Source organism: Homo sapiens, chromosome 10, assembly GCF_000001405.40.
Source record: "Homo sapiens chromosome 10, GRCh38.p14 Primary Assembly".
Lineage (NCBI taxonomy): Eukaryota > Metazoa > Chordata > Mammalia > Primates > Hominidae > Homo > Homo sapiens.
In genome coordinates this window covers 34,669,610-34,685,833 of record NC_000010.11, presented here as the reverse complement: position 1 = coordinate 34,685,833, position 16,224 = coordinate 34,669,610, and the positions used below count along the sequence as shown (strand labels likewise).

Sequence of the window (16,224 nt, the reverse complement as noted above, 5' to 3'; positions counted from 1 at the left end):
TCATTTGAGGTCAGGAGGTCAAGACCAGCCTGGCCAACATGGTGAAACCCTGCTTCTACTAAAAATACAAAAATTAGCCAGGTTTGGTCATGCGCGCCTGTCGTCCCAGTTACTTGAGAGGCTGAGGCATGAGAATCGTGTAGGGCCAGGAGGCGGAGGTTGTAGTGAGCCGAGATTGCCCCACTGCACTCCAGCCTGGGCGACAAAGTGAGACTCCGTCTCCAAAAAAAAAAAAAAGATTGCGGGAATCACGTGCATTAAGTTGTTAACTCCCTTAGAATGTTTAAGCCACCGGTTTACTCTGAGTTTTTTCCTTTGTGCACATGTGGCTTAATTTCCGTAAGTAAACATGAATTATGATATCTGCCTAGGGTGTTACATGGTGACCAGCGTACTGTTTTTTGCTGATCAGGTAGGTGAGTTGTTGAATTCCTTGCCTTCCTTCAGGTGAAGTGGATGTAGCCCAGGAGAACATGCTTTTAATGCAGGCATCTTAATCTTTCCATCTTGGGGAAATATACATTTTAAAGAAGCAGTGTTTTCTGAAGGCATACCTTATCATAAATCCTACTTACAGAAAACAGTATAATGAAAAACTTATGAAATGTGTTTTCTGTTGTCTTAATCAAAAGGAATAATTTAGTTATTCATAAATACATACCCTACTGTCTTCTGATGAATACTTGAGATTAAGATTAAATGGAATAAATTAAAACCTAGTTTCAATATTGAATCAAAGCTAAGTGGCCTCCCTCTCCCTCTCAAAGGTTAATAAGTTTTTCAAACCAGAGTGCGTGAATAATTTAAAAGATAGCATATGGAATAATTTCCTTTGCAAGAAAATCAGACTAATATTTTTAGGTAATTCAGTTTACTAAGCACCTAGTTTGTACCAGGCATTGGGCTTAGTGCTACTATACTCTGTGTGTGTGTGTGTGTGTGTGTGTGTGTGTGTATGTGTGTGTATATATATACATGTATATATATGTGTGTGTGTATATATGTGTGTGTGTGTGTGTGTGTGTGTGTGTGTGTGTGTGTGTGTGTGTGTGTGTATGTATCATCAAGCCAAAGTCTTATAGACATGTAACTGAAAGACCAGCAGGTGTTAAGTGATCAGGTTTACATTTGAGAAATATCCCCCTGGTGGCTGTGTGAAGAATGAATGAGGAGGCAGCATGGAAGGCAGAGGCCAGTCAGCAGGTTTTCTGGAACCAGGATTCGAATGCAGGCAGTGTGTGGCTCCTGCCAGTTTTGTGGAAGGAGGTTGAAATTGATGGCGATTGGGCTGGGTGGAGATGGTGGGGCATTCACCAAGGTAGGGACTGCTGCGAGGTTGCCAGACTAGGGATGGGAGATTACATTCAGTGTTGTCTTCTGTGAGTTTGAGTGTCTTGGAGCTGTTAGTTCGGCAGCTGGATATTTGGGACTAACCGTAGATAAATCTGTGAATCCAATATAAATCTGTGAAAAGTCAGTTTAAAACAATGTACCAAATATAATCTAACTTTAGTGCAATAATTATATACATTAGAAAAAGTTTGAGGGGTAGACCAAAAAGTGTCAGTACTGGTCATCTCTGAGGACAGTGTGTGTGGTTCACTGTTTTGTTTTCGTTTTCACTGTCCACTCCATATTCTACTTCTGCTTAATTCCAGTAGGAAAGAAGCATTAGGTTTAGTTATAAATATAGCTTAGAATAGAAACATCTTTTTTTGGACTTTAGTATGAATTGGCATAGGAACTGAATGATTTAAAGATTTTGATAACCTGGAAATGAAATAACTTGTATAAATTGACTTCATTAACTAGATGACTTTATTCATTTCCTCCTAAGTGAGCTTATTTTAGAGTGTAAAGAAGCAAATATTTAAATTTGCTGCCAAGCAGAGCAGCAAATGGCTAATTAATTCAGAAAGATGACTTCCCAACATTTAAGTGTTTTGTGGGTACTGGTTTGGCCACAGTTCATCAATTTGTGGGAGCACAGGGCCCAGATATGGTACAGGTAGAGCAGTGAGGTGTTAGTGAAAGGGAGTTCGGAGGGGGCCAGGCCTCCTGCATGAAAAGTGAGGGTCCTCACGAGCAGTAGGAGCTTTGGGGTCAGCCTGCACAGGATGGGCTGGGCCTCAGTCCTTCTAGCGAAAGCCCTCAAGACTTTGCTTATCTGGGGCCACCCAGTGAGTCAGGGGACAGAGGTTCTCACTCTTTCTGTTACACCAATCCCAGGCTGGGGCTTAATAACTTGGTGTGCCGCGCTGTGCTTTTCTGTTGCTTTGGAAGTGCCTGGCATCTCGTATGGTGGGCTGTGGAGCCACACTGCCTGCATTTGAATCCCGGCTTCACGCTGTCTTTACTTGACTTCTCTTACCTCATTTTTCCCATCTGTAAATGGGGTATAATCATAGTAACTATCTTACGAGTTTTTTGTTTGTTTGTTTTAAATTTCAGATTCAGGAGATACATGTGTAGTTATATTACATAGGTATATTGGGTGATGATGGGATTTGAGCCTCGGTGAACTCATCACCTAAACTGTGAGTGTAGTACCCGGTAAATAGTTTTGCAAGCCTTGCTTCTCTCCCCGCCTCCCACTTTTGGAGTCGCCAGTGTCCATCGTTTCCATCTTTATGACCATGTGTGCCCATTGTTTAGCTTCCACTTATGAATGAGAATACGTGGTGTTCACCTTTCTGTGTCAGTTATTTCACTTAGGGTGTTGGCTTCCAGTTCCATCTATGTGGCTGCAAAGGACATGATTTCATTATGAGGTTAAGTTTAAGATTAAGCCTTAGAATTCACATTAAGGTTTTGTGCTCGGCAAGAATAAGGTCCCAGGAAATGTTAATTGTGGTTGCCGTTGTCGGCCACCATCACCACCACCACCACCATTGTCAAATTAGGCTCTTCATTCTTTTAATAACTGCTTCTGAGGTTTTATTTTGTTTTGTTTTGTTTTTCTTCGAGACAGGCCCTTGCTCTGTCACCGAGGCTGGAGTGCAGTGATGCAATCTCTGCAACCTCTGTCTCCTGGGCTCCCACCTCAGCCGCCTGAGTAGCTTGGACTGCAGATGTGCATCACCATGCCTGGCTTTTTGTTTGTTTGCTTATTTAAGATGGGTCTTGGTCTGTCACCCAGGCTGGAGTGCAGTGACGTGATCCTAGCTCAGTGCAGCCTCCAACACCCGGGCTCAAATGAGCCTCCTGCCTCAGCCTCCCAAAAGTGCTTAGATTACAGGTGTGAGTCACTGCACCTGGCCTGAGGATTTAAAAACAAGCGAGCAAACAAACCAGGCTATCCTAGATATTTGTGTTATGAAATGAGTTTCTGTAGGTAATCAGTTTCACTTATTTTTTTATTTCTATGAATTTATAGAGAGCATGGTATATACTTGGCACCCAGAGATAGTTGTAAGAAATACATTGTTTATTTTCTGTGTGTTAGAATTTGAGGATTCTCAATACATTATTAAGGCAACCTCCACCTCCCGGGTTCAAGCAGTTCTTCTGCCCCAGCCTCCTGAGTAGCTGGGATTACAGGCGTGCACTACCACGCAAGAATTCTGAAGTTCCTTGCGTCTGAATGTGTGCTATACTGCTTGACTTAATTTCTTACAAAAGATTGTCAAGAGATACTTCTTTTCAAGGGCACAGTCGAATGATGACCGTCCACTATCAGGCATTTTGTTATCAGCACTTGTGGGTAGTGTCAACAGGGATCTCTTGGCTGCTGGGAACTTGAGGTTGAGATGACACTGCAGTTGCATTTCTGTAACAGCATCCTTTTCTTTCATCTAGCCCTCACATATTTATTGAGCATCTGTTCCATTCTAGGCAGGACTTGAGAGATTGAAGTAAATAGAGAACACTTGTCCTTAGGGATCTGTTGTAAAATGGGGAGATGAAAATGTTGGCGGGGTGCTGGTAGCTCATGCCTATAATCTCAGCACTTTGGGAGGCCAAAGTGGGAGGTCTGCTTGAGCCCAGGAGTTTGAGGGCAGCCTGGGCAACATAGTGAGACCTTGTCTTACTTAAAAAAAAAAAAAAAAAAAAAAAAAAAAAAAATATATATATATATATATATATATATATATATATATATAAAATACATACGTAAAATACATATATAAAATATAAAAATCTAATTATATACATGTATATTATATATAACATGTATAATACTATATATTTGATATATATTATATATAATAAAGGAAAATGCTAGCAAAATGTTTGCAGCTACAACAGTGGTGTTCCATGTTCTATAAGGTATGTAAAGTTTTGTATCCTTTTTTTCTTAGTGTAGCTGCATTCCACATACTTTTAAAGCAAGAAAAGTCCCATATGTAGGTGGGAATATTCAGGCTGGATAAATTAGGAGGTGTGTTCAGGTCAGCCTCCAGATGGGCTAGTTCTAACTTTCTCTCCCTCCCCAAAGAGGCAGTCTTGAATATTCTTTCTACCTTTAGTTAACACAACTAATTACTTCTCAAACTGTCGCTGTGAAGGACTAGATTTGCTTTTTTTTTCCCTCCAACCTGTGGCAGAACAATACTTTTAAAATACAATGCAAATAAATTACTGGGATAAAGTGGCTTGTGTTTTATGGGCCTTTATTTTAGCTATTATTAGAGTTAACAGATATAAAATTACTCAGTCAAGTTGCTGTGTTCTCAAAAGCTTACTCTATTTCTGTACTTCATGGAGACTGGGACCACACTTTGAGTAATATTGCATCGTATAACACTGTTAAATACAGCTGTCCTTAAATTTTCTGTGTTTATATTATTCACCAGCTGTATATTTCTGGTGTAGGCTGTTTGGTTATGTAGCTTCTTTTTTTTTTTTTATTATACTTTAAGTTTTAGGGTACATGTGCACATTGTGCAGGTTAGTTACATATGTATACATGTGCCATGCTGGTGTGCTGCACCCACTAACTCGTGATCTAGCATTAGGTATATCTCCCAATGCTATCCCTCCCCCCTCCCCCCACCCCACCACAGTCCCCAGAGTGTGATATTCCCCTTCCTGTGTCCATGTGATCTCATTGTTCAATTCCCACCTATGAGTGAGAATATGTGGTGTTTGGTTTTTTGCTCTTGCGATAGTTTACTGAGAATGATGATTTCCAATTGGTTATGTAGCTTCTTTAATGATTGGTATGTGTTTTAAAAAATAATTCCATGCCTCTTGTTACCTTGAACGTTTTCTTTCTTTATCTTTCCCCCTCCCGCTTCTCATTCCCCTTCCCCTCCCCTCATTTTTTTTTTTTTAGACGGAGTCTTACTCCATCACTCAGGCTGCAGTGCAGTGGTGTGATATTGGTTCACTGCAACCTCCACCTCCTGGGTTCAAGTGATCTCCTGCCTCATCCTCCAGAGTAGCTAGGATTACAGGCTCCCACCACCATACCTGGCTAATTTTTTTATTTTTTAGTAGAGATGGGGTTTCACCATGTGTTCCAGGCTGGTCTCGAACTCCTGACCTCAAGTGATCAGCCCGCCTCGGCCTCCCAAAGTGCTGGGATTACAGGCATGAGCTGCCACACTGGCCTGAATGTACTGTATCTTTCAATCCTTGGGTTAGGCTTGTAGGTGTCCTAAAGCATTGGGTTTTGTGGGGCTCTAGTGTTAATAGTATTATAAGTATAATTGTATTGCAGGTATTCATAGTATTCAGTACTTTCTCTAGAGACCTATTTCTCCATTTTCTCATGTTTTATTTTCTTTAAAATTTTTATTTTTATTTTTATATATTTAGATAGTACAAGTGCAGGTTCTTACATGCTCATATTGGGTAGTGGTGGAGTCTGGGCTTTTAGTGCATCCATCACCTAAATAGTGAACATTGTACACAGAAGGTAATTTTCTGTCCTCACACCTTGCACCCTCCCACCTCTTGGAGTCTCCAGTGTCTGTTATTCTGCTCTGTGTGTCTGTATGTACCCACTGTTTGGCTTCCACTTGTAAGTGAAACATGCGGTGTCTGATTTGGTGATTTCACATAGGATAATGGCCTCCAGTTCCATCCCTGTTCCTGCACAGACGACTTGTCTTATTTTCGTGACCTGTTCTCGAGCTCAACTTCAGTTCAGTGAGACCTGAGATAAAATGAAGGAAAGATGTTCCTGTTGCCTTTTGAAAGGGTATAAAAACACCCTCCCTCCTCTTTCTGTGACATGGGAGGTGGCGTTCCAGACTCCTAATTCGTAATGCTTGTGACTATTTTGTTTTGTGTTTCTCTGAGTAAAATATGTGTATTTGAGCATCCGATCACTCCATTTCTCATTCACTGGAAGAAGAGAGTTTTCAAAGAGCTTAACAAAATAGTCACACTCCGAGGGCTCCTGGTTTGAAGTAGGAGTGGTGATTTGATCCTATCCTATAGCCCTCTGTCTATTTTGGCAAGGAATGCGTTGAGAGACTTCTTTGAACCTGATGTGTGCTCTCACACCCTGCTGACTCCAGGGTGTTTTGCTACACCCTGTTTTACTCTTGACAAACTACCTCCGGCCTGTTTGACTGGTGCAGTTTTAATTTGGTGCAGTTGAGGCGTAGCTGGTTTCCCTGGTGAACCTGGAGTCCACACTGCCGGATGCCGTCTGTGCCGTCCATTGAGGGGTTACTTAGGTGGTGGAATGTGTTCCCCTATTTTCCACCTGCTTTCCATTTTTTACCCTTTACTTGAGGTTTTGCCCTTTCCTTGAGGACTGAGCAAAACAGGTTGTTTATTTACATTTTGGGTGGACTGTTTATTTGGGGATCATTTTATTCTGTTGTTAGTCTTGAAGTCTGTGCTGTTGAGGATTTTGTCTTCCTAATGGGTTGAGATGGCAGACAGAGCGAAGGGGAAACCTGCAAAGAGGTATTACTCTTTTTCTGGGACCTCTCGGAAGGATTCGGTGAAGGCGTTAAGGTTTTCAAGGTCATTGAACCTCAAGAGAGCCACTTCAGAAGTCAGCAAAAGGCAGGTTGGTACAGAAACTTCCTTAAAACACCCCTTTAATTTTTATTTTCTTGGTGGGCGGGGGGAATTGAAAGTCATGCTTACTCTTTGTGTTTACTCCTTAATATTATTTTGAAAAAGTTTCCTGATTAATTTTTGAACATTTTTGTTTTCAAAATCATACTGATATTTTCTGTGCTATCAATTCATTTGTGAATGCTTATTATTTATTAGTGTTTATGTTTATTCACTTATTGCAAGGGTTTAAATTACTGTATGCTGCAATACTAACAAGTTGTGATATTAGCAGATCCTTATTACTCGTATGGAATCTCTTACTAAAACATGTTTTTAATGGAGACCCTGATGTTACCCAAACATCTCACTAAAAAGGATTAGTTGATTTTTATGTATAACAAAATAATGGAATAAAAGCAAATTAGTGTTTCTCCAATTTCACAGTTCTGTACATTGTTCAGAATTAAAAATATTTTTTTCTGAAAAATACTTTGGGCCAGGCACAGTGGTATATGCTTGTAATCCCAGCACTTTGAATGGCCAAAGGAGGTGGATCACTTGAACCTAGAAGTTTGAGACCAGCCTGGGCAACATGGTGAAACCCCGTCTCTACAAAAAATACAAAAATAGCCAGGCATGGTGGTGCACACCTATAGGCCCAGCCACTCTGGAGGCCGAGGTGGGAGAATCACCTGAGCCTGGGGAGGTTGAGGCTGCAGTGAGCCGAGATTGCACCACTGCATTCCAGCCTTGGTGACTGAGTGAGACCCTGTCTCAATAAATAAATAAATTAAATAAATAAATAAATAAATTAAAAAAACATTTTTTAAAAAGAATTCTTTGAAGCTACTGGATATATGACTGTAAGTTTAGGCTATACAATCAATATATAGTGGATCTTTTAACAGTGTTATAAAGATTCCTTTTCTTAATGTTGATATTTTTGGAGCTAGTTTGTAATTACCAAACAGCAATAACAGATAAAAAGTAAAGATTACCCTGCACATAAAATGTGCTTTTTTTATTTTTACTTTTGGATGAGTGCCATGGGTTATGTGTGCCCTCCGGTGGTCTTTCATTAGAACGGTGATTTTCGAGCTGTGAAACCATTGAGAGTTAGTCATGGTATCTGTGTCCCCCTGCCCGGAGAAGAGTGGTGCCTTGCAGCATTACAGATAGGTGCTTCAGAACTGTTTCCCTCTTCATACAAATTCAGCTCAAATGTGTGATACTGATTCTGGCCAGTTTATGAATGATGTGTGTTTTGGGAATATCTCTTAATGGTTTATAGAATGGACACTTAATATGTCATCAATTCTACACTTATTTTGGTCCTCATATGTCTGCTAAATCTTGCAGTTTTAGTTTCTTTTCTTTTTTTTTTTTTTGAGACAGAGTCTAGATCTGTTGCCCAGGCTGGAGTGCAGTGGCATGATCACAGCTCTTGGTAGTCTCAATCTCCTGGGCTGAAGCAGTCCTCCCACCTCAGCCTCTCAAGTAGCTGAGACCACAGGCATGTGCTACTACACCCTGTTAATTTTATTTTTTTGTAGATGTGGGGGTCTCACTATGTTGCCCAGGCTGGTTGCAAACTCATGGCCTCAAGCAGTCCTCCTGCCTCAGCCTCCCAAAGTTCTGGGATTATAGGTGTGAGTCACTGTGCCTGGCCAGTTTAATCATCTTTCTTATATTTTCCTTATTGGACAACACTGAAATACTGAAAATAAATCAAGTCCAAGACATTCCAAATCTCTATTTTATATGTAACATACTTCCTTCCGCAGAAACTGCCACCATATTGGATGTTTGTTGGTAAAGAATTTTCAGCAAACCTGATTTTCTTCGATGTGATATTTTCTTCAAATTAATGTAATTTGAGTAAAGACACAGAATAAAACCTGTTTTTAAGACATTAAACTTTCTGTGTAGACTATGCAGAAAGTAATACCAGAAATGAATGAGGAAATTCAGAGACTGCCTAAAAGTATTGTTGCTGATTCTGTTGGCAGAATCTTTTCTCTTCCCTTTCGAAAAATCATAGTTTAAAACTGCTTGAACCTGAGGGTGGTGGCCTAAGTGTTGGTATTTGCCAGTTGAGAATTTAAGAATGAGTGCCTTGTATTGTCATTAAGAATTCCATAATATTGTTTATAGAAGTAGGGTGTTGACCTAGAGATCTCTGCCAAAACCTAATTTGTCTAATTAAATTCCGCCGAGCATTTCTAACTTCCTTCCCTAAACGACTTCTAATTGCGTGTCGTTCCAGTGGTAGTGATGATAATGATGATGTTCTGCCCTTGTAAACATGCCTTTAAATTATTAAGTTCTAAGCTGGCAGGTAAAATGGAATTACTTTTCATCTTAAAGATGAGATGTGGCCTTTTGGGGGATGTGTGTGGATGGGGACATTGCGGGTAGACGAAGAATCAGGTAGACTTCTTGTACAAAATTCCTGGATCATTTGTTTATTGTGGGAAGGAGCACTGCTAAGAAAGACAGACTTTTTCCCCCTCAAGCAGGAACCATCCTCTCTTCAGAGCGTTTTGTTTCCCTGCTAGGAGCCAGGATGTGACATTTAAGCAGCCATATAAATTTCAGTTTTGTGCATCACTTTGAGGTAAGGTTTCCGTAGAAAACATAAGTTTTAAAATTGTTTTGTGTGCGCTTCTTTGGGGAGGGAGATGTAGTTGGAATAAGAGTATAATACCTCTGAGATTTGTCAAGAGAATTGAGACCATGCTTTTTCCCTGCTGCTGTTGAGTTATGGAGGCGGAGGCTTGGGTGCGTTCAAGATGGGGCATCACTCGTTACCTGTGGCCTGCCTTGGTGGCTGAGGAGGGCATTGCTGCTGGCGGTGTGATGGTTGTTAACACTGCTTTACAAGCGGTGCTGAAGACCACTCTCGTCCATGATGGCCCAGCACATGAGATTCGCGGAGCCGCCAGAGCCTTAGACAAGTACCAAGCCCATCTTTGTGTGCCTGTATCCAACTGTGATGAGCGCGTGTGTGTGTGTGTGAAGTTGGTGGAGGCCCATGTGCTGAACACCAGATTAGCCTAATTAAGGTTGATGAAAACAAGAAACTAGGGAATGGGTGGGCCTCTGTAATACTGACAGAGGGAAGACCCTGTAGAAAGGTTGGTTGAAGTTGTGTAATAGTTAAGGACTATGGAAGTTATAAGGAATCTCAGGCCAAGGATGTCATTGAAGAGCACTTTAAATGCAAGAAATGAACTAATAAAACTTTGGTTCACATTCCTCAAAAAAAAAAAAAAAGTTGGGGTATTGTATTAAATGGAATAAAAAAGAGAAGCTGAAATATCATATTGGGGAGTTTTCTGAGCTCACTGGGTGAGAGGTTCAGTTTATAGCATAGATGATTGAAATTTCTGCCTCAGCAAAAGCAGAACATGGTTTTTGAAGTAAATGGTTGAAATTCATGCATCCAGATGTCTGTATGACTGGGTTCATGGACTTCAATCATCTTCTTTGACACCTAGGTTATTATTATCTATATATCTGAATCTGTATACTGACTTCTAGGTTTTGATTATGGAGAAAATAACAACCAAGATGTAGAAGTCCATCAGAATGATACAATCTGACAAAGTTGCTTAACAGCAGAAAAACAATGATGCTAACTCAGAAAGTTAGATGATTTTACAAAATTCAACAAAAAAGCTTTAAAAGCTGTAAATTAGAGATATAAATTATAGGTTACCTGTTAAAAAAGACTTCCTTTTCAAGGAAGTATTAATAGAAGACACAACTCAAAATAATACTGCCTTGATCTTGTAAGGCCTTGAGGTAATTGTGAATCCCCTTGATAGAAAAGGTAAGAAGCAAAGCAAATTGGGTGGATTTTATATTTAAGCAATCTAGAGATTTATAATATCTATTACGTGCATATACATGTGTGAAGACAACATAGTAAGGTGTGTTGTTTTATAGTTTTCTGTGTCCTACTTAAATTGGCTTGCAGTAGAATTATAGTTAAATTGATGCAGGGCAGGTAAGCCCCAAAATTGGGCTTAGACCGGGAAGGTTCTTGGCTTTGCTCAGGAAAGAATTCAAGAGTGAGGGCTGGGCACGGTGGCTCACGCCTGTAATCCCAGCACTTTGGGAGGCCGAGACAGGTGGATCACCTTAGGTCAGGAGTTCGAGACCAGCCTGGCCAACGTGGTGAAACCCTGTCTCTACTAAAAATACGAAAATTAGCTGGGCATGGTGGCAGGCGTCTGTAATCCCAGCTACTTGGGAGCCTGAGGCAGGAGAATCGCTTGAACCCGGGAGACGGAGGTTGCAGTGAGCCGAGATTGTGCCACTGCACTCCAGCCTGGGCAACAGAGAGAAACTTTGCCTCAAAAAAAAAAAAAAAAAAAAAAAAAATCAAGAGCGTGCAGGTGGTAGAAGAAAACAGCTGTATTGAGGCTGTAGTGTTACAGCTCTGTGGCTGCTCCCGCAGAGCAGGGCTACCCGCTAGGCAGTGAGCGCAGGGTGGCAGCTCAGGGGCAGTTCTACAGTCATGTTTATACCCACTTTTAATTAATGCAAATTAAGGGGCAGGTTATTCTGATCTTTCTAGAAAAAGGTGGTAACTTTCAGGTGTTGCTGTGGCAGTGTTAAACTGTCGAGCTGGTGGGGATGTCTTGTGGAGAGGTGCTTTTTATACAGTCGTTCTTTGTACAATAGACAGTGCTACTTCTTGTTAACGAAGAAATACAGATATAACCAGGATAATTTTGAGTACAGAACTGTTCATCAAAAAATATTAAAACATACCTATGTTCTGGCTAAGTGCTGTGTTAGAAAACTACTTGCTAAGAATATGTAACAAGTTGGGAATTAGAACTCTCCTCCTGTTTGTTTGTTTTTTTTTTTTTGATGCAGACTCTCGCTCTGTCTTCCATGCTGGAGTGCAGTGGCACGATCTTGGCTCACTGCAGCCTCTCCCTCCCGGGTTCAAGTGAGTCTTCAGCCTCCCACATAGCTGGGATCACAGGCATGCTTCACTATGCCTGGCTAATTTTTGTATTTTTAGTAGAGATGGGGTTTCACCATGTTGCCCAGACTGGTCTCAATTTCCTGTCTGTCTGTCTGTCTCGATATCTTTTCTTCTCTGTCTCTTGTTTGTAGTAGAGAGAATAACTTTGATTCCTAAATAGAAAACAGAATATATATGTGTGGATACTTGTATTGTGTTGATTGTCTTCATTACTAGTTTCCTAATCGTAGCAGAAAAGGTGGTGTTGGCTACTAATGTCACCCCAGCCCTAAAGGAGTAATGTGTTCTTGATAAGTTTGTGACATTGCTTTCCTGTGTAAATATGAAAATATTCTGGAACTTGATTTCTTGTTACTCTTGTGTTGTGCAAATTGTGTGTTCTGGCTTCCTTTACCAACCACAAGTAATGAGAGGTTCCAAAACTTAAATACAATTCATATTTTCGAGGATAGCTTATAATTTTTGAAATAATTAAGTTTAGCTTTATGTAACTAGGTAAAAATGTGCATATCACAGTACTCAAGATATTAGTTTAAAATGAAAAACAAAAAACACCTTAAGTTTTTGCTATCTTTAGTTTAATCTGTGGCAAATAAGCTTTCTCCCAAAATCATGCTCTCCCTAGATAGAGAGATTCCTGATTTGGATTGAAGCAGGTTCTCCTTAGTTATTTTTAAGGAAATATCATGCAGTGTGTTGAGCATTAATTCTTCCGGTGCTTCCCGGATCTCCATGAAGATTTTTTTTTTCCAGAAATGGAAGCCAAGTTTAAACTATGCTGAGATAAGGTTGGATTTAAGAATAGAATCGTTTAGATCACTGAAGCCCTAGATGTTCAAGAGAAATGAAGTACATATAGGTCAGAGAGAGGATGGAATTTATCATCCTAGAGGTATTAACAACAAAAAAGACTGCTGAATACAGTTCAATCAAGAAAGAATCAAGCAAGACAAGGTCTTTAAGTTTTACCCGTATTCCACATCCCTTACTCCAGATAGAATTTTTGCCACTTCATACTACTAAGTAAAGCAGGCAACAGATGTCAAAGTACAGGAGGATCAACATGGAACCATTGCTTATTTTGAAGAAAAAAATGTAGATCATATAGTTAGAGGATTAATACATATTTCCTGAAAGGCAACAGTTCTTCTACAAGGAGCATACTGGTTATGTGTTTTTAGAAATAGGGCCTCGCTCTGTTGCCCAGGCCAGAGCTCAGTAGTGTGATCATAGCTCACTGGAACCTCGAACTCCTGACCTCGAGCAGTCCTCCTGCCTTGGCCTCTCAAAGTGCTGGGATTACAGGCATGAGCCAATGCACTGGGCCGTTCATGTGTTTATTAATACAAAGTGGATATAATGCAGTTAAAGTTAGGAAACACGGTACATATTGAGAACTGTTAGTTACATGATTACATGATCACAGCGAGGAGCTGTTTCTGTAAGATCAGAATGAATGGAGCATGCTGCCTGGGAACCTGTAGCTGCTTGGTTAGAATGAGTGGGTGCTCAGCTGGTGGTAAATTTTTTGTTTACCTTTTTGGGTTGTGAACCAGCTGCACTGTAATTTATGTTAATTTGTGCTTTAAAAGTTTTCAGGGTTGTACTCGATCTTAATTGTGGGTGAGAAAGATGAAAATTATGCATAAATACTAATGGCAGTCGTGAAAGGGAGAGAGGTTATTCTTTTTTGAAAAAACAGAATCCTCCTCTGTCACCCAGGCTGGAGTGTAGTAGCGTCATCATGGCTCACTGCAGCCTCGAACTCCTGGGCTCGGGTGATCCTTCTGCCTCAGTCTCCCAGTAGCTGACAGGCATGCACCATCATACCTGGCTAATTTTTCACTTTTTGTACAGATGGGGTCTCCCTATGTTGCCCAGGCTGATCTTGAATGCCTGTCCTCCAGCAATCCTCACACCTTGGCCTCCAAGGTTATCCTTTTGAATAAAAATCATATGTAACTAAACCCAGTTTTTTGTGATATGTAAATCTAGAGTTATATCTTTAAAACTGTAAAGCATGTTTTTGTAATTCATGACCTACTTCTTTTTTACCTTAGGAGTGCTACTTCTGAATTCTTGCAGAAGTACAGATTGTACAGTTAATGCTGATCTTTGCGATAGATAGAACAACTTACATTAACTGTGAAAAGAATTCTCCCTGATGTGGAAATACATATAATCTTATTTTGGCAAGCATTTTACCCCTTTCAGTTTCTGCTTTTCTTGATGTTTAAATTTATCTTGTAGCCTTGTATGGTGATAGCAACTCCTTGGTATTTTTCTTGATTTTAATTTTCTTCTGCAGTTTGAAAGATTGTATTCATTGCTGTGATGCATATAAGATTTCTTAGTTTTTTTACCACTATGTTTTAATATGAAATGCCAAAGAATTTTAAAGTTTTTTTAAAATTAAGATTTCAACGTTGTGGCCTAGATGAATGTGTTACTTGAGGAAGGAGGTTTTAAATGCATCCTATTTAATGGGAAAGTTTGACTTGCGTGCATCACTTTATTTTTCCCTACCAAAATCAACATTTTATATCGTTAGAATATCTATCGATATATTTGGGTTACCTGACTCAAACCTGTTTCTTAAAAGCAGAAAGCAGTTAACTATTTCTTTATAATGCTTCTCCACTTCCATTGGAACCATGACATTGCAACAGAAATTATATTCACAGGCAAAGTCCCACAGCAACTGTCTTATGCTGTGTGTTGCAGCCTAAACGCTTATTTCTTTTGATTTGAAGGCTGTAATTCTTACTGCGAGTCTCAGTAACTTTTGCAAGAGCAGCCATTGACAGGTGCCCGCCATCTCTCTAGCCAGATGCTACCTCATCTGCCTCTGTCCGATGACTCTGGAGTTGGTCTGGTCTCAATTTAGTAAAACTTGATGGCCGCCGATGTGTTGCTGAAGTAATCAGTTGTAAAATGAGGAGGTAGAAATGTATTCTTGTCTTTTCTGGGAGGTTCAGGTACACACAACTTCAGGTTGATGATGATCCAAGTTCCTTCCCTGTTTGTGTCTTAAAAACAAGATTGAAAGCATAAACAAAACCAACAACAAAGTTCTTTGATCAAGGGAAGGGATTGCAACTGTTCACGGATGGAATTGGATTGGACCCTGAATTCTTACAGCTTGATTTGACTTTGTCATTTAGTGTAGGATTTCTTAACCATGGTTTCACTAGGTGCTTATAGATACTCTAAAACATGCACACACTCATACATCCCACCCCATAGATGCCCAGAAACCACTCAGGACTCGCTGAATCAGAATCTCCAGTGGTAGTGGGATGGGGTTGGGGCTAGTCAGGTACCCTCACTTCCTCCCGCAAAGGTCCCAAAGTGAATCCAGCCTAAACATTGCCAGGTGAAGAAACTGAAGTCTAGAGCACCAGGCGATATGAAGATAATAGAACTGTTTAGTGACAGATTTGAGAAAGAAGCCAGTGGCATTTGAGCATATGCCCTGTGCTCACCCCAGTAAGAAATCAGAAGCATAGTGGTGCAGATCACCTGCCTGAGAGCCAGCGGCGGCCTGGCGAGCCGGTGTGCACGCGCTGGCTGGTATTGGTGTCAGCTTTCGTGAAGGCGTCCCTTGTGTTTTGAGGCTTCTCAAGTTCTGAGGAAGCACCTGCAGCTGCACAGAGGTGCGTGTGCATGGAGTTGGGAGGCTAGCCGCCAAATGCTGCTCAGATTCCCAGGCCAGAGAGATGGTCTTTATACGTGATAAGAGCACGGATAAGCCACCTGCTTTGGGGTCAAAATTAAAAAGTCAATATACAAGTCTTTAACCTGGTTACTAATAAAGAATCTCTCAGCCCTGCTAACATAACCTGTGACTTTGTTCGTGTTAGCCATTTTCTGGTTATCTAACTTTGAATGACCTTTTCACTATAAATCTTTTAGACACATAGGTGTAGCTTTGTCAAAGAGTACTATATTTTTATTCTTCCTAGTAGAATTTTACTTTTATCATAGGATTGAAAGCCAAATTTTAAATACATCCTTTTGGAATATGTTTTTGTACCTATGTTAGAGGACCATGTGAGGTGTCAGATACCTTAAATTTTTTTTTAAATCACATTTTAATGCAGATACTCAGAACATCAAGTCATTAAATTATGTGAAAATCAGTATTTTGTGAGAAGGGTCCAGTTCCTTTTCATTTGTTGCAAGCAAATTATCACCTGCTTCTCTCTTACGGTGCATAATTTTGTTAGTAGGTAAGGTAATTTTTTCTGTTT

The 16,224-nt window shown here is 40.3% G+C and overlaps 1 protein-coding gene and 1 pseudogene across 11 annotated transcripts in view; both read left to right on the top strand.

The window, feature by feature from the left end:
* PARD3 (par-3 family cell polarity regulator) overlaps nucleotides 1–16,224 on the top strand; it is a 705,736-nt gene that overhangs the window by 129,463 nt on the left and 560,049 nt on the right. The gene's annotated exons all lie outside the window — the stretch shown is intronic.
* On the top strand, nucleotides 9,706–10,221 carry RPS12P16 (ribosomal protein S12 pseudogene 16; annotated as a pseudogene).